We start from the raw sequence: 23900 nt of genomic DNA on the forward strand, positions 1-23900 counted from the left end.
GGCCGCCTGGAGCCAAAGTCCACTGGCTTGCTGATCACACCCTGTCCTGTTCCACATGCACCATGAACACCAGTTTCCTCCCCTCCCAGAGTTCCTAAATCTTTTGGACTCCTTTGAAAATCTGCTGGGAGCTGCTTTTCCCCAGAGAAAAGTTTTGGTTTTCTCCAGGAAAAAAAAAAAAAAATAGAGATGCACAATGATACAACTTGAACGTAATTTCAAGAGGTTCAAGGTTATAAACTCCAGCCCTAAAAGTAAGCATTTTATAAGCATTTATAACAAAAACAAGAATTTTCAGAGTTTTCCAAAGATGCAATAGGGGAACACAAGTGTCTGCAATACCAGCTAAAACCACTTCCATACAATTTGTCAAGAGCCTATCAGGAATAAGGCACTTGTAGAATCGTATCTCATTTAAACCTCATTTTAGTCCTGTGAGGTGATTATAATTAGGATCCCTTTACAAACTAGGAAACTGAGACACACAAAGTTTAAGTAACTTGCCCAGGCTCACAGAGGTGGTATCTGGCAGAATTGAAATTAACCACAGATCTAGCTGGCTCCAGACCTCAGTCTCTATTCCAGACATTCTCTTCTGGCTTCTCCAATGGCATTTCTTCATCTTCCCAGACAGGGGAAGAAACTTGCTCAAGGTCTCACAGCTCAGCACATCTGGAGTAGCCATTAGCCACATGTGAACACTTAAACTTTAAAAAAAAATTAAGAATTCAGTCCTCAGTTGCAGGGATCACATTTCAAGTGCTGAGTAGCCACCTGTGACTAGTGGCTACAGTATCGCACAGTGCAGGCACAGAACATTTTCATCATTGCAGAAATGTCTATTGGGCAGCGCTGGGCTAGAACTTGGTCTCTTGACTGCCAATTTTAGTTTTTCCACTGTCAGGGGCTACTAGAAATTAGATTTGCTTGATAAATGAAGTTGACCATGAAGAGGAGACAGGAGGTGGGTGCAGTGGTCCATACTTATAATCCCAGCAGTTTAGAAGGCCAAAGCAGGAGGGTCATTTCAGCCCAGGAGTTCGAGACCAGCCTGGGCAACATAGCGAGACCCTGTCTCTCAAAAAATTTTGAAAACTAGCCAGTCAAGGCGGCTTGTGCCTGCTGTACAAGCTACTTGGGAGGCTGAGGTTTGAGCCCAGGAATTCAAGGCTGCAGTGAGCTATGATCACACCACTGCACTAAAATCTGGGTGACAGAGAAAGACCCTGTCTCTAAAAATAATTTTTTAAGTGGGTGATTTTACTACCCACTTAAAAAAAATGATACTGATGATGCTGATAACAGTGACTGCCATTTAGTAATAACTTTTTCACAATGTACTCCATCAACTGGAGCAGGGCTGGGCATGTATTAAGCACTCAATAAAAATGTCTTGGATGTTGAATTTACCATGAAAATGTCTTACAGAACAGTAATAATAATAAATTACTATGAAGTGAATGCCTTACGGCTGCACTGCACCCAACCACACTTAGTGTCATAAGCCTTCCAATAACCTGAGGGGTAAGCACTGTTATTGTCTCTATTTACAAATGAGGACACCGAGACACAGCAAGGTTATGTCATGTGTTTAAAGACACAGCTAACAGGGTAGAAGAAAAAAAGGGAGAGGGTGGTTTAAATCCGGGTCTGTCTGAATTTAAAATCTCTATATTTTTTACCTCCCAAATCAAGAGAGCATTTTGTGTACAACAAAGGTCTGTACAAATGTCACTTACCAGTATCATCACAGTATGAGAATTTCTTTTTATTATTATAATTTTTTTGAGACGGAGTCTCTCTCTGTCACCCAGGCTGGAGTGCAGTGGAGCGATCTCGGCTCACTGCAAGCTCCGCCTCCCAGTTCACACCATTCTCCTGCCTCCGCCTCCTGAGTAGCTGGGACGGCAGGCACCCGCCACCACACCCGGCTAATTTTTTGTATTTTTAGTAGAGACAGGGTTTCACCATGTTAGCCAGGATGGTCTCAATCTCCTGGCCTCGTGATCCGCCCGTCATCACAATATGAGAATTTCTTATTTTTTTGAGAGATAGGGCCTTGCTGTTGTCCAGGTTGGAGTGCTATGACACAATCGCAGCTCACTTTAACCTTAAACTTCTGGGCTCAGCAATCGTCGTACGTCAGCCTCCTGAGCAGCTAGGACTATAAGCACACGCCACCACATCTGGCTGAGTTTTATTTATTATAGAGATGGTGGTCTTGCTATGTTGCCCAGCCTGGGCTGGAACTCCTGGCCTCAAGCAATCCTCCTGCCACCTCAGCTTTCCAAAGTGCCGGGATTACAGTCATGAGATGAGCCACTGTGCCCAGCCCAACATGTGAAGATTAATGGGCCCAGGGAGAAGAAGGATTTTCCACAGTTGAGCTGCCTGTCAACAGAATGGGGAGATTGTGAGCTCTCTTTCCTGTTGCTAGAGGCACCCAAGGGAGAATAAACTCCTACCCAGCAGGGAGACTGGGATGGGAACTGAGCTGTGGTCCCCAGGTGGGACACTGGATCAGCACAGAGAATCCCAAATGTGGTTGAACATCAGAATCGCCTGGGAGCTTGTGAAGCAACAGAGTCCAGGCTGCACGCCTGATTTTTAATTGAGTGGTCTGGGTTGGGGATCAGGATCCTGGCTGCTGACGAAAGGCACATGCAGCGCAGGTTGAGAGTCATGGACTAGCAAAATGCTGAGTGTCCTTCTTACCCAAGATCACTGGATTACAGGCCACGGAGCCACTAAAGGAACTCAGGACACACTGTTAAAAAACATATGATTTGCCCAATAATAATGAAGGCATGCTCTGGCCAGGCACTGTGCCAAGCATGACACCTGTGGTCCCATAGACCCCTCCTCCCAGGCTACCTCCTCCCCAGGCTCCTCTACCCTCCTTCCATTTTTCAACTCCAGCATCCTCTCTTCCAGGAAGCCTCCCCTGATTCCCAGAGCTGGGGACCTCTCCTTGGGGTCCCACAACAGATATGATTCTCACTTGTGAATGTCCGCGTCTATGTTTACCCGCTGCCACTCCAGGCTGTGACAATGCTAGTGTCTCACTCAAGTCCTTGTGCCCAGCACCTAGGGCCTGGCCCAGTGCAGGTGCTCACTAAACATCTGCAGAGAGGACTTGCTCTGCTCCATGAAGGATGGACAGAGGAGGCAGTGAAGAAAGCAGCCGCTGCAGGAAGGAAGTAATCCAGGTCACCAGGTTGGAAGGAGACAGAACCTACAAATTCTCCCCGCCACTGTTCAGAAGAGGCCTGGGCTATTTATAGCTCACAAGCCTTCTGCTTCTTGCATTTAAATGCAGGGCCAGGCATAGAATAAAATCCTGGGGAGGTCTGTCAGTTTTCAAATTTATTTATTTATTTTCTATAAGAACGGGAGCAGAAAGCAGGGACAAAAATGAACCATGCCTATTAGGGTGCGCTGCCTCGTGCTGTCCCTAGGTCTGCCTTGCCAAGTCTGTTGACAGAAGAGTTGCACGCAGTTCTAGACCTGATCCTAGAAATCAGAGTATCCCTGTGGAGACTGGCCTGTGAAGGTCCTTTTAAGGTGATTTTTAAATGGTAGCTTCAGCTTACAAACTAGTATTACAGCATGACCCTGCTTTGGTTTAAATATGTGTTGTGTGTGTGCACGCGCACGCGCACACACCCCCTAGAGAGAAATAGCCCTAGTGGTGAAGCATTCTACTTTTGGATTATAGAATTTGAGACATTTTAATTTTCTTTTGGTGTGCTTTCTCTGCATTTTCCCAAAATTGCCACCATGGGTGCACATAGCATATACGGTGTTATGAGGATGTTAGACTCAAGGAAACCAGCTCTGCCACTTGCTAGCTGTCTGACCTTGGGGGAATTACCTAATTTCTTCATCTGTAAAGTGGGAATAGCGACAGAACCTTTCTTAGAGGTTTGCTCCAAGGATTGTATAAGGTAACATATGTGAAATCCTAGCACGGCATCTGGAATGTGGCATGTGCTCAGGAAATGCCAGCTAGTATAACTGGACAAGCATTTGTAACTCGTGAAAGCATGATACCGTTTTTAAAAATTAAAACCACAAATGGCGACTCTCCCACTCCCGGGTGTGGAAGGAGCCCTGAGAAGGGACTGGATCATGGCTGGCTGAGGAGGGCTGAGAGGCCTGAGTTCCAACTCGACCTGCCTGAAAATGCACAAATGACTCCTTCTCCTCTTGATCAGTTTTCTGACTTTGAAAAGGATGGTGGTAAGGGGTGGATGTTAAGTCCTGCTCCTCTAAGCAGAGGCCCCAGAGGCCTGACGATGATGCTATAACTCAGATCTCCAAGAAGGAGCTGATCGTGGTCCCACCCACCCCCTTTCCTAGCTCCATTTCTTCCCTGTGTCCACTTCCTAATGTACCTGCTTTGCCCCACTGAGACGTAAATAAACCCCAGGAACCTTCTTCCTAATCACACAGGACCCCAGTGATCTGGGGCACCTTCCCCACATCCAGCCTAGTAATCAGCCTCTCACCCTTCAAGGTGGGACTCAGCACTCTCTGCTAAATGGAATCACCGTTATCTGCTCTGCTTGTCTTTCCTCCTGGGCTGAGAAAGTCCTGGTCCTATTTAGCACCATAACTTCAGTGCCCAGCACACTGGAGTGGGCCAGTGATATCTGTTGACTGCATAAAGAATGCTGTAAAATATGATCCAGGGCAGTGCCGAGCAGTGGGTGGGCTCACAGACTCGAGTGTCAGGCAGGTCAGTGTTTGAATTTATTATTATAATTTTTTTTTTTTTTGAGACAGAGTTTCGCTCTTGTTGCCCAGGCTGGAGTACAGTGGTGTGATCTCGGCTCACTGCAACCTCCACCTCCTAGATTCAAGTGATTCTCCTGCCTCAGCCTCCTGAGTAGCTGGGATTAGAGGCATGTGCCACCATGCACAGCTAATTTTGTATTTTTAGTAGAGACAGGGTTTCTCCATGTTGGTCAGGCTGGTCTTGAACTCTTGACCTTAGGAGATCCACCCACCTCAGCCTCCCAAAGTGCTGGGATTGCAGGCATGAGCCACCGTGCCCGGCCTGAACTTACTATTGAATGGCCCTGGGCCAAAGATGGGCCTGTCCTTTCTGAGCTTTAGTTTCCTCATCTGCACAATGGGTATGACAATGGTATACCCCTCATAGTCTGACATTTCAGTAAGATTATCCAGGTAAAGTATTCAGAATACCTGGCATATATGAAATAATAAATATTACTATCATAATGAGAATGATTATTAAAAATGTAAAATGACTTGGTGGCTATCTCCAGAAACCAGTTTCAGCACTTTCCTTTCAGATCTGGTTCGGGTCTGTGGGGTCAGAAGAACTCCCGGACAGAGTGCTCCCTGCACAAAAATGCCCGACTGAGAAGGGGCACAAGCAGAGGTACAGCCTGTTTTCCCTTACCCAGCCGTGCACCCTGCTGGCACTGGAGAAAGGGGAACCTTGTTCTGATTCATCCTCCTAGAGGAGGCAGCGTTTTTAAAATTCAACCACCAGGATGGGGGTAGGGAGAGAAGTGCCTTCCTCTAACTTGCATAAGGATGCCATATAAGCGCTGTGTCTGGACCAGGTCCTCATTATGGGGCCACGAGAGGAAGGGCCACCCTGGGCTGTGCTCACTCTCAGTTCTAAGGATAACACAAAGGCCCCTCCAAGATTGTGCGGCCCAGGGCAGGAGTACAAATGGAGGACTTCATACTTATTCTAAATATGTAAAAGTTTAAATCAGGCTATTAAATAAAATATGTTCTATCTTTTCATTCTGACAAATATGTCTTCATAATGACCTTCAAGGCCAGGACAGCTCAAATTTAGAATCCTCCAAGTGCCACAGATGAATGCGGAGGGGGAGGGAGCCAACCCTCAGCCATGGTCCACCCTTTCTCCCTCTGCTCCCATATCCAGAGGGCTCACTCTGCACATCTGTGCCGGCTGTCGCCTCCACAAACAGCACCTTCAGGGCCACCCTCAGGATACTGCTGATGGATGCATCCATCCTCAGGAGAATGAAGCCAGGGAAGGGGTTGAGACAGACCCTGAAAGCTGACTCAGGGCCATTTGGGCAGGGAATTTCAGGGTCCCCACGTCTAGAACAGGCCTAGAAGGAGGAGTTCAGGTGGGTAATAAGAGTGAAGCCAGAGGCCTGACTGGAGGAGGGTCAGAGAACATTCCAGTAATGCTGGCGACCTGAGATCAGGGCCCTCCTTGCCCAGGTCTAAAGGTAGAAATGAAGGCTGGGCATGGTGGCTCATGCTTGTAATCCCAGTGTATTGGGAGACCAAGGTGAGAGGATTGCTTCAGCCCAAGAGTTCAAGACCAGCCTGGGCAACATAGCGAGATTCTGTCTCTACAAAAAAAATAAAATTAGCTGGGCAGGCTGGCATGTACCTGTAGTCCCAGCTTTTTGGGACGCTGAGGCAGGAGGATCACTTGAGCCCAAGAGTTTGCGGCTTCAGTGGGCCATGACTGAGCCAGTGCACTCCAAGCCTGGGTGACAGAGTGAGACCCTGTCTCTAAAAATAAAGGCAGGAATGAGACAGTACCCAATTCTACCGCCAGCCAGGTCTGATATTCACCAAATGGGTCATGAGAAAACTCACAAGAGGTTTATAAGGGGTGATTCCTTTGGGAACTGTGGTCTCCAATTTTTACCAAAGCCTTTCCCAAATCAACAGATGTACCAACCACTTGGGGGTGAGGTAGGCATGAAGCTTCTCTCGCTTTCTTCCCCAGCAAGGCTCAGATTGAGGAGTCGCATCTGTAGGCCCCATCCCAGCCTGGGCCTTTTCTGGGGCTGGAGACATTCAGACCCCACTCCCAATTCCTGACCAGGGTTGAGTTCGTCAACCATTCAAACTTAGCCTTAACTAAAGAGCGGTTTTCCTGTATTTTTTTATTTTAATTTTTTAAAGACTTAGACATTTACCTCTGGAGAGAAATTATGGGCTTCAAGAGTTCTTGACAAAGAGCTTCGTTCCAGAAATATAAAGCCGGCATTTTAAATTTGGTTCTTATTCACTGCTGGAAAGTATTAGAATGAAGATTACAAATTTAATAATGTAACACGGCAGGAACTGGCCTGGCCTTGTCTCCAGGAGAGTAATTTGTTCCTGCCTTCAAACCGGCACTTCCCAGCCTCCCGGCATCACCAGACCAGCCTGGTGCCACACTGCTGACTTTTTTTGTCTCTTGCGCACTGGCCCACGTGGCCAGCCCAGACACCAGGAGATATCACTATCCTGGCCTGAGAACTAGGGATAGATGGTCAGATCTGTCTGGGGAGAGCCACTATAACCAAAGGGAGCCATCTCTGGGTCTCTTGGCTTCACTCCTTGCCTGCGGCCAGAGAGGTATTTAAAGATTGGCAAACCCCAAATCTGAGTTTGTCACATCCCTGCTAAAAACCCAAGAGGGGTTCCAACTGACCTTAAGCTCAAGCCCAAGAGCCTCACCTTTAAAGGCCTAGTATCATCCAGTTCTGCTACCTCCCAACAACATACCCCTTTCCCTGGGCTTTCAAAAGACCATGGCCCACTCCTGCCTCAGGGCCCCTGCACAACTGCTAATACTAACAAGAGCTAACATTTATTGAGCACTAATTATGTACCACGCACTGTGCTAAGGGCTTCACAGGTGTCCTCTCACCCCTACCCTGTAAGGTAGGCAATGGAGCCAAGTGGCGAAGCTCCAGAGCCCAAAGAGCTGGACTTGAATTCTGCCTTGGACCCTGTGTGATCTTGGGCAACTTACCTAATGTTTCTGTGCCTCAGTTTCCTCATCTATAAAATAGGGATAGCCAGCCAGGCGCAGTGGCTCACGCCTGTAATCCCAGCACTTTGGGAGGCTGAGGCAGGCGGATCATGAAGTCAGGAGATCGAGACCATCCTGGCTAATACAGTGAAACCCCATCTCCACTAAAACAAAAAATTAGCCAGGTGTGATGGCGGGCGCCTGCAGTCCCAGCTACTTGGGAGGCTGAGGCAGGAGAATGGAGTGAACCTGGGAGGCAGAGCTTGAAGTGAGCCAAGATCGTGCCACTGCACTCCAGCCTGGGAGACAGAGCGAGACTCCATCTCCAAAAAAAAAAATAGGGATAGCCCCCAAAACAACCTCACAGAGTAGTTTTGGGGCTCGAATGAGTGAATGGAAGTGAAGTGTCAGAATGCAAGGGGTGCCATGTGAGCCATGGTAATTATCTGTATCGGCCTTTTACACAGAGAGAAACAGAAGCACCACCAAGTGAAAAATAATGTGGAACAGGTCACGCAGCAGCTAAGCAGAGTGTGGTCTCCAGACTCTGAAGCCCTTAATTTTTACCATGATATGCCCATTGTAGAAAATCTGGAAAATACAAAAAAAGCACAAACTAGAAAGCAAAAACTATCCATAATTCTGTCATGCAGAAGCAATTATAGTTATTTCCATCTGTGGGGAGAGGGGAGCGGGAGCGGGAGAGACAGCCAGAGAGTCCAGGATTCCATCCCCCTTCCCATCACTATCAAGTCTGTGTTCACAGCATCCTGTCTCACCCCCTCCCCTCCCCTGCCGTGCCTTCACTTGGCCAACGCTACTCACACCTCAGGTCTCTGCTGAGCTGTCCCCCTCCCTGTGCCCCCCACCCAACATGTCAGTTCTCCCTGCTATGGCCTTTCCCAGCACCCTGTACTTGTCTTATATGCCTCTTTATCACAGGCATGATCGGATTATTAGTTGCTTCTTCAAGCTGTGTAATGTCCAACAACCCCCCTCACCCCAGGAACCAGAATGTAATTCCATGACAACAAAGACTGGACTTGCCTTAGGTCACCAGAACACAGCTTGGCCATGAGCAACTACTGGAGAAGAAAGAAGGAAATAGAGTGGGGAGGAAGGAGAGGAGAGAGAAGGGGAGGAAGGGAGGGGCTTGGGATTCAACTCTGCCTTTCCCAAGTCAGTGCCCATTGGTGGGATGCAGATGGGAATCACACAGTCCCTGCCCTGCAGGGGCTCACAGTGTGACAGTGAAAAAGTGAAAAGCCAGACTGTGCAAGCACAGGAGAAGGAGAAAAGCAAAGTACCACAGGGGCTCCCAGGAATGGTCACCTCCACCCTAGAGAAGAAGGGTGTGCTTCCTGGAGGAGGTGACCCTGGAGCCCTGGAGAAGGAGACATCAGGCACCCCAGCTGAGGAAATGGCCTAAGTGAGGCATGGAGGGAGAAAACTCAAACAAGACTGTCAAATATGAAGAAGCTGGGTTTTGCCTGGAAGGAACAAATGCTTGGAAGAGCTGTAAATATGAAGTCAACTAATCTGGCTCTATACAACACTTGTTTCCTGTGTTCATCCTGTGCCTTTCTAGTACATTCTCCAAATAGTCAAACAAGCCATTCCTCTGAGCTGGAGTGAGCAATGCTGTCATTCCTCATGTCCTAACCCCTTGTCCTAGCCCAGTCTCCTATTGCCAGCACCTGCATTTCTCTGCCTGAGGGCTACCACCCATGGCAGGCTGGAAATAAACAGGCAATAACCAACTCTCTGATCTTCCCTAGCAGCTCTTAACCAATTACTGATGGGAACTGCTGTATAAATACCTGAGCTCCCTCTTTCCTGGGTGGGATAACTAAAGCGCGTGTTCTACCCCAGGAGTCTGCAAACTATGGGCCTCGGACTAAATCCATCTTGCTGCCTATTTTTGTAAATAAAGTTTTATTAGAACACAGCTCACCCTTTCATTTACATATTGTCTGGGGCTGCTTTCTCACTACAACTTCATGATTGAGCAGTTACAACAGAGACTGTAATCCTGCAAAGACTAAAATATCTACTGTCTGGCCCTTTACAGAAGCAGCTTGCTGAGTTCTGTGCTACACTGTCTCCCCAGAAGTCCCCAGCAAGACTAAACTCCAGTTGCCCTTGCTTGGGTTAACCTGCCTGATAATACACAGTCTCCTGACTTCTTTCTCTGCCTCACTTTCTCACTCCCATCCTGGGGTTTCATCCATCACCTTTGTGAACCATATGAAGCATACAAAATTCTATTAGACTGCTTCCACTAATAAAATGGCAGTTTCAGGTGGTTTGCCCTAATACTTGTACTTGATTCCTTGTGTCAGGCTCTGTTCTGGGAAAACCTAAACTAGGAGAGCAGGGCAAGTGTCATCATGCCCATTTTACAGACGAGCCCTAATTTAAAGCTGTTCCCTGCACACACATTGTCTCCTCAGCAAAGGCAGAGGTCAGCCTTGGTTTGAGACCCTTCCCGCACTCCCCAGTCAGAGCCTTGCCATGTGTCTTTGATATGTGCAGTATCATTAAACCACCTGTAGGTTACCTCCTGCTTATAGCTGTGAACCTGTTCATCTAATGAGGAAATCAAAGTTCAAAGAGGGGAATGACTTGCCCAGGGTCAGTTGGCAAACTGGCAGAAATGAGATCTCAAACCCAGGTTTCTTTATGACAAATCCAGGGCTCATCCCACGACAAATCAACTACCCCTTCTGCTTTCACCTCAGGCCACCTATTAGGGCCTCTGCCCTCCTCTCTGGATACACGGCCAACTTTTCATGAGGATCAGGCAGGCTCAAATATATTAAAATCCTTTGTCAGACACAAAAGACTTCATGTCTGCAAGGTGCAAAGTAGAAAGTCAGGACAGGCACCCTCCAAAGAGGGACTTGGAAAGAGGCCCACAAAGAAGCATGAGATACATGTATATATTCATGAAAAACATTAAATACAGTACAGAATGCTGGAAAGAACACAAGTGTTGGAATAGGCCTGGGTTTGAAGTCCTGTTCTGCCCCTCACTAGCTGTATGACCTTGGCCAAGTCAGAAGTCCATCCAGATGCTCAATTTCTCCATATGGCCGAATGTAATGACTATGCCCACCTTGTGGAGGGTGACCTGAAACGAGGGTTGGACACTGCTGAGCACAGAGCTGAGCACACCCACTCTCCCCACTCTGTAGTCAGGGGTTCCCAGACAGTGGGTGAGTGGACCCCACTGGTATCCTGGCCAGATCCCCCATGCTAAGCAGGTCCCCCATCACTCAGCTGCCATGAGTATCTGCTGGTGCCGGCTCACAGCTGCCCCATCTTTGGACAACTGCCCTTAGCTCATAGGAGCTGCCTTGCCCCAACAGTTATGCCCTCGGGGGACTACCCTGCTATAGGAGTACCGAAGCCTAGTCAACCCTGCCATGCCATCCATTCTCCAGAGCTCCCCAGGATCTGGCTGAAGTTAGCCTGCAGCCAAGTGCCCATGTCTGGCTGCTTCTTCTCCTGCCCCATGCTGCGTCTCCCTCTCCCTCTCTTGCAGGTTTCACCTGCGAGCACTCCCACAGAGCACTTGCACAAAAATCCACTTCTCAGGCTAAGACAGTGGAAACAGGAGTGAAGAGTTCTCCTGATTTTCTGTATTCGTTACAAAATCAAGTGACTTCTGGGGAAAGTCCAGAGAAGAAGGTACATGTTAAATTCTCCCTTGAGCCGGGTGTGGTGGCTCATGCCTGTAATCCCCGCCCTTTGGGAGGCTGAGGTGGGCAGATCACCTGAGGTCAGGAGTTCGAGACCAGCCTGCCCAATATGGTGAAACTCCATCTCTACTAAAAATATAAAAATTAGCTGGGCATGGTGGCACGCGCCTGTAGTCCCAGCCACTCAGGAGGCTGAGGCAGGAGAATTACATGAACCCAGGAGGCAGAGGTTACAGTGACCTGAGATCATGCCACTGCACTCTAGACTGGGCAACAGAGCAAGACTCCATCTCAGAAAAAAAAAAAATTATCCCTTGCTAGAGCCACACACCTGACTCCCCTCAGGGCCCAGCTGCCCAGTTTGGGGGTCCCTCTGCGAGGACTTAGCATGCCCAGTAGAAGCTGGGCACAAATGGTAAGTTTCCTGAGGCCAGATGGCTCGGGGGTGGCTCGGCCAGGGCTTGGATGGGCCCCGGAGGCACCTGGTCCAGTCTTGGTGTTGGGCCCAGGCTGATGAAAGATGCTGCTCAAGACATTTGCTGAGGAACTAATTAATTTTCATTAGAGGACCCAATTAGTGAGTGCAGTGAGTGTGGTGGAATATCTTTCCACCCACTCTCAGGGTGACTCCAGGTGGCGTTCACTAGGGACACTGAGTGCTGGAGATAAAGGCAGCAAACTTGAGGCCTCAGGTGCCGCAGGGTCCATGATGGCTACTTGGGGTGCCTCAGGGGACAGGGAGAGATCCTGAGCTGTGTATCCAGAAACATCATTGCCACAGACCTCCTGTGAGGCTTCAGGCCAATTGAGATTGCTCTCTGGGCCTCAACTAAGATAGCCACAGTAGATGACCTCAGAGGGACTTTCAACTAAAATAATGACAGCTAACACTCTTAAGACACTTTCACTGTGTACCAGGCTCTCTACCAATATTTATTCATCTAATCCTCTTGACACCTTCGAGGCAGGATGGGGCTATGATAAGCCCGTTTTGCGATGAGGAAACAGGCTCAGGGAGGTTAAGTGACTTGCTCAGAGTCACACAGCCAATAAGCGGCAGAGCCAAGATTCAAATCCAGGTTATCTGGCTGTGGAGCTCGTTACTTTCACCATGCTATACTGCCTAGTGCAACCCAACTTCTCTGGAACTCTCACAGTGCCTGGCACAGGGATGGGCACCACCATAAGTGCTTAATAAGAATTTAAAAACAGGAAAATAAGAAAAAACTGGTAGCCTGAAAGAGTGTGATGGTGGCTTGTGGGAGTGGGACTGGATAGCTGAGTAGAAGGGAGATGCCATTTCTTTGGATGTCCTCTGGTGCTGTTCGGCTTTTTTACGATGTATCTACATTATCAGCAGTAATAACAGCATAAAGCATTATAAAAGCTGATAACAGTGCTTGTACCAGGGATGGGACATGAGGATCAGAAGACAGGGGTGCCCAGGACACTTCCCCCGGATATTTTTCATGTGTTTAAAATGTTGTAGCATCTGCATATATTACCTAATCCAAAAAAATACTTTAAAAATTATCCAAGACCAATCAAGCAAAGATCAGCTAGAGAGAAACTGGCAGGAGGGGGCGCTCTGGGGATGAAAAATAACCATCTAGGGGCTACCGCAGAGTCAGGGGGAGACAAAGGAGGAACTGGAGGGCCTGTACAAGTGTCCTACCTTCTCTGGGAGACTCTGGGTATATCTAAACCAAGCCCACCAGCCTCTCACTCTGCAGGCAGGGATACTGAGGCCCAAAGAGTCAAAAAGTGGGTGTAGGAGACACTGAGACTCGGCGATGAACAAAGTCCTTCTCTCTTCACTCCTCATGCAGCCTTTCAGGCTCCACTGTGCACACAGTAAACACCACATACCTAGACCAGAGCGAGGAGGCCTGACGCCAGCTGTGTGCTGCCCCATCCCACCCTTCCTCCACCCAGATGTGCACATCACATCATTTTTATGAAGTCTACAGGAAAAGGAAAGGCGGCAGCTTCCATAGCTTGGATGTCTTCTATGTGTTGTACATACATCCTCTGGAATTCTCACAAGGTATCTCTAATTCCATTTTGCAAAGGACAGGCTGAGGCCTAGATCAGTTACATACCACAGTCATGATGCACAGCTAGAAAGGGCCAGAGATGCAAACCCAGGTCTTTGGGCCTCCCAAGTCCGCTCATTTTTACTATCCCAAGCCACCCCTCACAGAGGGTATTTCCCATCAGTTTAGGACAAGTCCCACCCGGAAACTATTTTTAAGTGCCTTTGTCTTCAGATTCTGAGTTGTATGGGGCTGGGTGAGAATCTCATCACATCAAGGTTGGTCCCCTGCCTCCAACCTGAGCTAGACCCCAATCTTCCCTAGAAAATTATCAGCGACCCCTTTCTTAGAAACATCTGAATAAACTGACTCAGTAAACTCCCCCGGGAGCATTTCCCAGCACTTTGCCCCCTTTACATCGATGATTCCTTTGATTTACTTCTTCCCAGTAGAGGTTTGTCCTCAAATGAACTTCCTGGTTTTAACACATAGCCCTCCCTTTTCCCAATGCAGAAAAGGGACCATGTCCTGTTCTCTCTGGACGAAAAAGGAGCTAGACCTGAATCCTCAGAATTCCCAGAGCTGTCTGGGTCCAATATCCCATGCAATGGTCTCATGGCCTGATGCATTGCTCATTTTGACTCACTTATCCTTTGTACAAATGACTTCCTAGAGGCTTTATGAGGGCCTACGTGTTAAACCTGGCACAACGCAGGCAGCAGCTGAGACTCATTTGGATCATAGACTCTGTGACAGAAACAAGAGGGCCTGAAGACCATACCCAGGACTGAATTTGGTACCCAGTGTCCCAGCATCTAAGACATCAGGAGCCAGGAGATATCCCACGTTGGCAAGACCCCTTCAGTTCTCTCCAGCCTTTTCCTCCAACCCAGTGGTTCTCAAGGTAGGGTCCCTGGATCAGTACCATCCGAATCTGCATCACGTGGGAACTTGTTAGCAATGAAATCCTCAAGTCCCTCCTGCCCCCAAACTAAATAAAAGACTCTGGGTGGGCCCAGCAGTCTGCATTAAGAAGCCCTCCAGAGGATTCTGAGGCTCACTCAAGTTTGGCGGCCCTGCTCTAACCCATTTAAACTGACAACAGCCACTGTGACAACTGCAGCTGCTACCAATGACTGGGAACCTACTATGTGCCGAGGGTTAAACATGCACTCTCATCCATTAATCCTCATAGCAAAGGACACCTTATTCCATACGTCCAGCTCTGGGTTAGGTGTGTTGTGTGCATGATGTCATTTACTCCTTACTATAACCCTCTTGAGTATTTACTATTATTATGCCCCATTTTACAGATGCGGACATTGAACCCCAGAGGGTTGAAGCAACTTGCCTACAGTCATACAATTTAGAAGTGGCAGTCAAGATGAAAATTCAGATCTGCCGGATTCCAAAGCTATGTTCTTTCTGTCCGTCCATGGAAGTTCCCCAGGGTCTCTCACACCTACATCATCAGTCTGGGTCAGGTGAGATTCGAAGAGGGGTGGAGGCAGGCAGGGTGAGCAGAAAGAACCCAGCCTGGACTCCACAGTGCCTTCCAGCTACAGCGTGAAAGGAAGCTGCGTTATGCATGTAAAGGCACAGCCATCTGCGCCTAAGGAACATAAAAAACAGGGATTCAGGGGGCATGAGTTCTTGGCCTCTCTCTAACTTCACCCAGCTGGGGGCCTTTTCTTTTCCTTCTTCGGACCTCAGTTCCCGCACCAGATAATCTTTATCCTCTACAAGGCTGAGATAATTTGCCCCCTTCTCTGATCTTGTCTCTCTAACCACACTGGTCTGTCATCTCTAGCCACACTGGTCTGCTTTCTATTCCCTAAAACTCAAACTCGCACTGACCTCAGGGCCTTTGCACAGTTATTCCCTCTGCCTGGAACACTCTTCCTCCTCATATTCCCATTGCTGGCTCTTTGTCAGTTAGGCTTTATCTCAGATATCACCTCCTTAGCCTTCCCTGACTACCTTACTTAACATTATCTCCTAGCCCATCATCGTTCCATTTTCATTCCACTTAGCAGAACCTGAAATTCTTTATTGAATTGGTTACCTATTTATTGTCTGTTTCCCCCACCCCAGAATATAACTCCCTGAGAGCAGAAACCATGTCTGACTTGTTCCTTGATATATCCCTAGCACCCTAGCACCTAGAACATTAACACTGAGCAGCTCATTAACTACTAACTGAATGAACAAATACCAGAAAAGAAAACCTGGACTCAGAGGTCAGAGCTCTGGATCCTTAATATGTGACCTTGGCAAGCCACTTCGCCTCTTTGAGCCTGTTTCCCTACTTGCTTAATGAGGAAATGGGCTAGATGCTCTCCAAGGGTCCTTCCAAGACTTCCAGTCTTGGAAAGCCAGACCTGGAAGCAGCCCAGCTGGTCCATCCAGAGAAGGCAGCTGGCCAGGGTCCTGGCAGCAGCTGCCCTCTCGCCACCCCCATCCACATCCCTGCCCAGCCACACAGTCATCTCACTCCCCCGTTGCAGAAACTGTTAATGAAGTGCGCACTGCTAAATGCAGTTACAATTACGGGGGCTAAGAATAAGGCGCTGACATCAGCCTCCTCAGTTTCCGAGTGAATCAGAAGGGGAGGGGGGAGGAAGGAAAAAAGGGGAGGGGGGATGGCGCTCTGGAGCTGTCAAGTGGAAATAGCACAGCGTTAAATATAATCCAGCACTGGCCTACATCAGTCTGGAGAGGCAGGTGATGGCTTGGCCCCCAGGGCCAGGGCAGACAACTGGATTCTTCAAGGAGGCCAGGCAGCCACGGCAGCTGAGGGCCAACTGTGATAGGGATCAACCAGGAACCAGTGGCAGGGAAGGCACTCCAATGGGTGGGTGGATTGTAGCAGGGTGGTGGACCCTGGTGGGACACATCACACCCAGGCCTTTGTCACCTGCTGTTCTGACAGCACAAGCACAGCCCCAGGAGCTTACATAGTCCTGTCCCACCCAGGATCTCATTTCATGCCCAGAAGCAGAAGATGGCCTAGAGTCAAACACACCTGGGTTTGAATCACCACCCTATAACCTGAGAAAGTCATGAATTCAACTGCTCTAAGCTGCCTGGCTTTCCTCATCTGCAAAATGGGTACATCTGCAACAGCAGCTACCCCTTCAGGTTGCCATAGAATTCAGTGCGATCACAGAAAGCAATGAGCATGGCCAAGCAAGCCCATCAATCATTTTATTTTTATAATCCTGAGAGATGCTTGAACAAAAATAATTAACCCTTTTTTTCCAGATGAGGCTCAGGAAGGTTAAGAGACTTGCTTGAGGTCAGAGCCAGAGCGGATTCAAATCCAAGCCCAGGTATCTTTCCAATACAAAAAGGCAGTGGAACTGACGAGGAATGCAGAATGGGAGAAGGTTTATAGTGGGGGAGATACTTCACCCTTTTGAGCACATTCACCAAAAGTGGCACCTTTCCAGCAATTTTTAAAAGACATGATGAAATGATGGTTGCTACGGCCATAAAGAAAAGACACAGAGGAGGCAAAGTAGAAAAAAGTCCCTCAGACAGACAAGAGGGTCGGCTGAGGGTGAAGGCTTCCTTCCATTCTCGCTCTCCTCCGCATCTCTCCCTTCACCCCCACTCAGCCTTCAGTTGGAACTTGCTCTGCCTCTGGTTCTAGCAGGGAGTGGGGAGGGATGCAGAGCCACATCCTGAAAGGGAAACAAGGTAGATGGACCTCTCTCCCCCTTCCCACCAAACAGAACTAGGTGGGCCTATGGCAGCTGCAAACCGAGGAAGCTGGAGCCAGGAGTCTAGGGGATTGGGGATGGGGAAGGGGGTGCCTAAGGGAGACAGAAAATAAGGAAAGAGCACTGATTGCACCACAGCAGACCTGCAGACCAGTGATCTGTACAATGGGGTAAGGCGTGAATCCTCATGCACCTGATTTTCTAAGATCATTCTTTCAGGATAATTTGATTAAAATAAAGTGGTCTGGGCTGGGCATGGTGGCGCATGCCTGTAATCTTAGCACTTTGGGAGTCCAAGACGGGAGGATCGTTGAGTTCAGGAGTTTGAGACCAGTCTGGGTGACATAGTGAAACCCCATCTCTACAAAAAGAAAAAAAAAAGAAAATTAGCCAGGGGTGGTGGTGCATGCCTGTAGTCCCAGCCACTTGGGAGGCTGAAGTGAGAGGATCACTTGAGCCCGGGAGGTAGAGATGGCAGCGAGCTGAGATCGCACCACTGCACCCCACCTTGGGCGACAGAGGGAGACCCTGCCTCAAAGTAAATAAATAAATAAATAAATAAAGTGGTTTGCGTCCACACTCTCACCCCACCCCTCTACTTGAACTATGGGAACAACTGGTTCAATTCTCCATCATGCTTCACTTATCCAAATCTACAAGAGTTCTGCCCAGCTCTGAAAACATTAAGAAAATGGGAAGGGGGGTGTGGTCAGGAAGAAGTGAGAGAGGAAGTGTCCTGCCCTGGAGGGTGAGGGTGGGAGTGGAGGCTTCAAAGCCGCAACTTCATGCCTCCACGTGGTCCTGACCATGAAGGATATTTTAAGGCCTCCTCCCTCATCCACCCTGCCAGCCTCCTTCTAGGGCTGAAGGATTCATTCCCACCATCTTAGAGGGAAGGGGTGAGACAGCAGGACATTTTGTTTCCCAGAAAAAGCTCAGGTCAAATTTCAAGGACAAAAGTTAGCACTTGGTCTGGGAAAGAAAACTCTGCCAAATGGAATAAAGGGGGAGGGGGAGAACTCCAGTGAGGTCATTCCAGGTGCCTGGGGGTGTGGAGAGAAATCGGAACTCTGATTCTCCCTGCCAGGATCTGTCCGGCAGGATATGGGTATCGCCGCCTCATCACCCAGAAGTACTCAGACCACCCCCTACATTTCCCCTCTGTCCAAAAATGGGGAGCGGGGCGCTGTGGTACTAGTTTTTGGATCCCATCCACTATCCCACCCCGCCCCCAGCCCAACAGATTTGGTCTGAGCGGAAGAGGGTGGTGCCAGGAAGGGCTTTCCAGCCCAGAGATGTGGCCCAAACCGCTAGGAGAGGGACTGGTAGCTGGCTGGTGTTGCCATGGCAACCTCCTCCCTGCGCTGGATCGAAGCTTCCATCCTATGGGCAAATCAGAGCTGGCTGCTCCAGCTTCTCCGCCCTTCTCCCAGGCGGGAGGGGGAGAACTGGACGCTGAAACCACTTGGTCAGGCTCAAGAACACCAGGCTCAATTCCAGACCCTGATGTAACAACCCCCTTTGGCATCTGTTGGAAACTTGAGACACCCCAGCTCCCCAGCTAGGCCCCAAGGCAGAGTGTCAGGGCTGGGACTGTAGATGTGATTGGTGCAAATGAAGTGGTCAGGAAGAGCAGGGAACCAGTGGCTGAAATCCTCCCCACCCTCTTGACTGGCAGGCGAGTCTCCCAAATCCCTATGTTTAAGCCACTTCAAAGAAGGAGGGCCCAGCTCTACCTTAATAACTGTAATGATGCAATAAGATTAGCCTATTAAAATTATAAAGCTAGCATTTTGAGAATCAGCCTTCTCCCCTCCCCAAACCCACAGATTCTTTTCTACAGTCATGTTCAGAAACAACTCTTTCTCAGTAATAAGATAGATAACAGCTAACATGTAGTGAGAGCCTACCTCATGCCAGGTACTGTACTAAGACTTCTGCACAGCACAAACAGCATAATGGTTGATTAAAAGCATAGATGCTTAAGTCAGATTGCCCAAGTTCAAGGCTTCATTCCCTCACTTCCTGGCTGAGTGACCTTGGATGAATTAATATGTCTGTGCCTCAGTTTTCTCATCTGAAAATGGGGATGTTAACAGGATAGCAGTTTTATAGGCTTGCTATGAGGAATGAGTTAATATTTTTAAAATGCCTGGGAATATGTCTCGCACAAAGGTAATCATTTGTAAAATGTTAACCCTATGCAGTCCATGTTATTATTTTTCTTCTTCCTTACAGATACGAAACCGAGGCCACGTGTCTAACTCCTCCCCGATTACAAACCCAGTGCCAACAAGGCTGGGCAACAAAACACACACACAAAAAAACGCCTCCAAGCACATGTTTCCCTAAAGCCCCAGCATCCTTGTGAAAGAGGGCAAAAGGAGCATCTCAAGAAGTAAGTTCAAAGTGCACGAGGGAAGATGCCCCTTGAGAGGAATTCTGGGAACCAGTAATGACCAGCATCCTGGGCCCACGGCGGGCTAGAAAGAGGTGTGAAGAAGGCTCAGCTTCCTGTGCCCACCCCAATGGCCAAGGATCCCAAGTCCAAATCAGGAATGTGCTCTGCCCCAGTTAAGGCTAATGAGAAAAAGGCTCCTTCTCACACCATTTCTCAGGAAACTAGCAAAAGGATGGCAACTAAACTCTGAAGATGGCTCTGGCTCAGTCTAGTTGGAAAAAGATGCATTTCAACATGAGTTGGAAGCAGCAACAAAGGGGAGGCTCCTAGATGAGCCGGAGGCCTGTCAGGGACACACTTCTGAGACGGAGCCAGCAGAGACAGACAGGTATTAAGAAGGCCAGGGGAGGGAGGGGAGAAGAGGCAGGTAGAGCCACGCCTGTGTCCAGTATGGGAGAGACCATTCCATTGCTTTTAGAAATCAGTTCAGTGCAGTGCTGTTCTAAAAGAATAAATCCAAAAAGGCTTCTTTTAGGAGAAAATTAATGACTTTAAGGAGAACAGGAGAAATTAAGCACCAAGACAACGCTGCCTACTTCTGACTTTCACCAGACATTCATTATTTTTCCGGAAATGAAAGTTGACTTTCTCCCTCCCCCTCCCAAATTTGAAGCATCCCTCAAGAACAGACAGTGAGCACAAGATGCCCAAACCAAACTCTTGGTCGCCAGCCGCACCCCCAGGCCTCCTCACCTGGGAAACATTTTCTACACAGTAAGGTCTGGATTTCTTAAAAATCCTCTTTCAGAGGGAGGGCTACTGGTTTAATGGAAAGAGAACCATAAACCTGATTTTAGTCTCAGCTCTGTGGCTGCCTCACTAGATGACCTTGGCATATATATGTGTGTGTGTATATATATATATATACACACACACCCATTCCAGGGCTTCAGTCACACACACACAAACACTCACACAAATACACACACACCCCCATCCATTTGCGGGCAAAAAGGGGATAGACAAGATGATTTCTAGGTCTCTTCCAAGTGAAATACTAAAGAATTTCAAGAAGGCTGCTGGAAAAAACAAACATGAGTGGACCTTTAAAAATATCATTAATACTACTTGAAGTTATCTGTTCTGACTTAAGTGAAACCAGAGCAAGTTGCCTGCAGCCTGCAATAACCAAGGTGTTTGACCCATGACACACAGCATGACTTTGAAGAAAAACTAAACCGCTCCTGCCTCTGATGCTCCTACAAACCCATGCTCCTGCCCAGCCTGGCTCTTGAGATCCAAGTGGACTGCTGACCACTCTACTGTGTTGGGGAGCCCCCTACTTCTTCCCACCTTGCCTTGTCCAGAATAATAATACAACCTCCCTCAGCTACATGAAGGCAGAAGTTAAACCTCTGAGCCTCAGTTGTTTTTTTCTGTAAAATGGTGATTATAAAAATGGTAAAATGTCTCTGCAGTAATCATCTTTACCCTTACCCCCATCCCCACCTCCAGGTCAATAGAAAGACAGGTCTATTGGGGATCTGCCTCACCTATCCCCATTCATTCACCAGTCAACAAATTCTTCTGGAGAAAGGGCAGGAAGACATGCCCACCACTTCATCCCATGATGGAACCTTGGTGGCCAGGTTGATCAGACAAGGGTCCCCAAAGACTAAGTCTAAACCTGGGCCCAGGAACTTCCTAAAACCGTAGGCTACATTTTGTGGATGGTGCATATATGCACTTCGGGAGAGATAGTCCATGTTTTCCTCAGAGACTTGAAAGTGCCCATGAAACCATTTTGCTCCTCAAGCACATACACTCCTCCAGCACATACACTCCTCTGTTTTGTTCCCCCATTGAATTCAAAGACTCTCGGATTTTCACCTTATAAAACACTGAACTCCACCCTCACACCATACAGAGCTTTGCATCGATACGATGATCCCCATTTCAGAGATGAGGAAATCCAGGCTCAGAGGTGGCATGACTTGCCCAAGGTCACAGCTAAGAAGTAGAGAATGAAGACTGGAACCTGATTCCGATTCCCAATCTGGCATTCTTTGGGGAACTCTCACCCAAGCCCTCTAGCTACCCCACCTGTTGGTGGATTCCCTTCCTCACCCCAGAACCAAATCCGGAGCTCTCATGTTCCTTCTGCCGGGTCCCAGGGCCCTAAAGAGTAGGTTTCCCTACAGCTCCCCACCCCTCGCTCTGGCTGAGGTTGTGCGCAGGCCTGGGAGGAGGAGGTTCAAGCCGCTGGCTGGTGGCCGGCTTCAGCCCACCAAGAAAGGCGACTCCAGGGACAAGAGCACCTGAGGTCAGGGGCACACACCAGCGGGCGGACAAGTGTAGAGTTGGCGCCGCCCTACACCTCTCTCCGGGAAGAGAGGGGAGGAAAGGCCGTCACCTGGCCGGTTCCCCTCCGTCTGCCCCAGGCGTATAAGAAGCAGGAGTCTGGAGCCCCAGCCCATGAGGGAAGGAGAGGAGAGATAAATGGGGGCGCTCAAGGCCTGGGGCGCCGGGCAGGGGTCTTGGGCAGGGATCCTCTGGATGTGGCCAAGACAAAGATGGAGAGGTAAGGTCTGCGCGCCACCTCCAATGGCGGGGGGCGCGTCGGAGCCCCAGGGGTGGGACGGCCAAAGCCCAGGGCTTGAAGAGTGGGCACATTCAGGAGACTCAGGGAGGGTGGCAGGTCGGCTCCAGGGACGAGGCAAGGGGCCTCCAATAGGCGCGGGTGAGGAGGGAGATGGGTCCTGGCGACCCAAAGGGCCCACCTGCGGGAAAGGTGAATGCAGACAATCTCGGGGTCCCTGGGGGAGAAGGCCAGAAGGTAGCGCATCCTGGAGACCCTGGGGTCCCGTGGGTGCGGAAGGAGACCCTGGGGGCGCCTTCCCAGGGGATTGGGGGTGGGGAGGAGGGCGCACGGGTCGGGGAGGGGGCTACCGGACCTGGATCCCGGGACACCCCGGGGGTCTGGGGGGCGGGCCGCGCGCTTACCTGCGTCCTCGTCGTCGAAGGAGTTCATGCACGGGAAGTAGATGGCGAGCGCCTCGAAGGAGGCGGACAGACTGAGGCGGCTCTGCGAGCGCTCCATGCCCGCGCCGGCGCCGGGCGCCTCGGCCGCGGCGGCGGCGGCGGCGGCGGGCGGCTTGGGCAGCTTGGCCGCCCCATTCTTGACGCGGAGTACGGCGCGCGGCGTGGTGGCGGCGGCCCGGGGCCGGGCCGAGGCTCCGCTGCGGGGCTGGCGGGCGCGGCGGGGCCGGCGGGCGGGCCAGGAGCTGGCGGCGCGCGGAGCCCGAGGCGCGCTGTGCTGCTGGCGGCGGCGGCGGCGGCGGCGGTGGCGGCGGCGGTGGCGGCGCAGCGCGCTCTGGTCCGCGGCGCCCCCCGCCGGCAGCGCGAGGCGGGCTTGGAGCGGCGCCGCAGCCAATCCGTGCCGCCGGGGGAGGGGGCGCCGCTGCGGGGCGTGGGAGCCCGGAGGGCGCGGGCTGCGGCCTCTTCTAGCAGCCCCCGGGCCCGGCAGGTGCGCGCGGGGAGGCAGGCGCCGGGCGAGGTTGTCTGGGCCCTGGTCCGAGGGCTGTTCCCGACCCCGCCTCGGCCCCCACCCTCAGCCGGCCGACTTGCGGAGAGGCCGGCGTCCAGTCCCTCACCCAGACAGGCCTCTCCCAGAGACACTGGCGCGCTCGGAGGGGATGCGCTCAAAGGGTCCCGCCCAGGCGGGTCGGCACTCGGCCTCCCACACAGAGACCCTCGGCTTCACACCTGCACCCACAGAGAAGCTCAAACAGGCACCCACACCTACACATTCACTCTGCAACATGCCCCGCAGACACCCGGACAGATACACCCACAGACCCACCCCCTCACAGATGCGGGGACAGACACGTCCACGGACACACGCAGACTCACGCAGAGACCTGCAAACACACTCAGGGAGGTAGGCAGGACATCCCTGGTGCCCGGCCTCCCTCACGGGGAGACTCTCAGATGCCACAAAACCCCACGAAGTTCAGGTAGGCATACACAGTCTCATGCATTCACACTTACCAAAGACACCCCAGAATTCATACACACATTCATACACTCAGATGAACACACAAGCCCAGACCCAGCACACACTCTGTGTCGCCTCCCCCTGTGATCATCTCAGCACTGTCAAACACTCTGACTGACACGGCCAGATGCACACACCTTCACCCTCAGACACACTAGAGTAGCACACACACGCCAAGACACAGCCACACAGACTCCATC

General features: G+C 50.2%; 1 protein-coding gene across 2 annotated transcripts in view; it reads right to left on the bottom strand.

Moving 5' to 3' along the window:
- The window catches only part of RIMS4 (regulating synaptic membrane exocytosis 4), a 58739-nt gene extending 35721 nt beyond the window's left edge, over positions 1-23018 (bottom strand). For both annotated transcript variants that reach the window (NM_182970.4, NM_001205317.2), the window contains exon 1: positions 22647-23018. In NM_182970.4, the coding sequence (NP_892015.1) occupies positions 22647-22743 (97 nt within the window). In that variant the 5' untranslated portion in view covers positions 22744-23018. The remainder of the gene's footprint in view (positions 1-22646) is intronic.
- Between the last annotated feature and the right edge of the window lie 882 nt (positions 23019-23900).

This window comes from Homo sapiens, chromosome 20 (genome assembly GCF_000001405.40).
Source record: "Homo sapiens chromosome 20, GRCh38.p14 Primary Assembly".
Classification (NCBI taxonomy): Eukaryota; Metazoa; Chordata; class Mammalia; order Primates; family Hominidae; genus Homo; species Homo sapiens.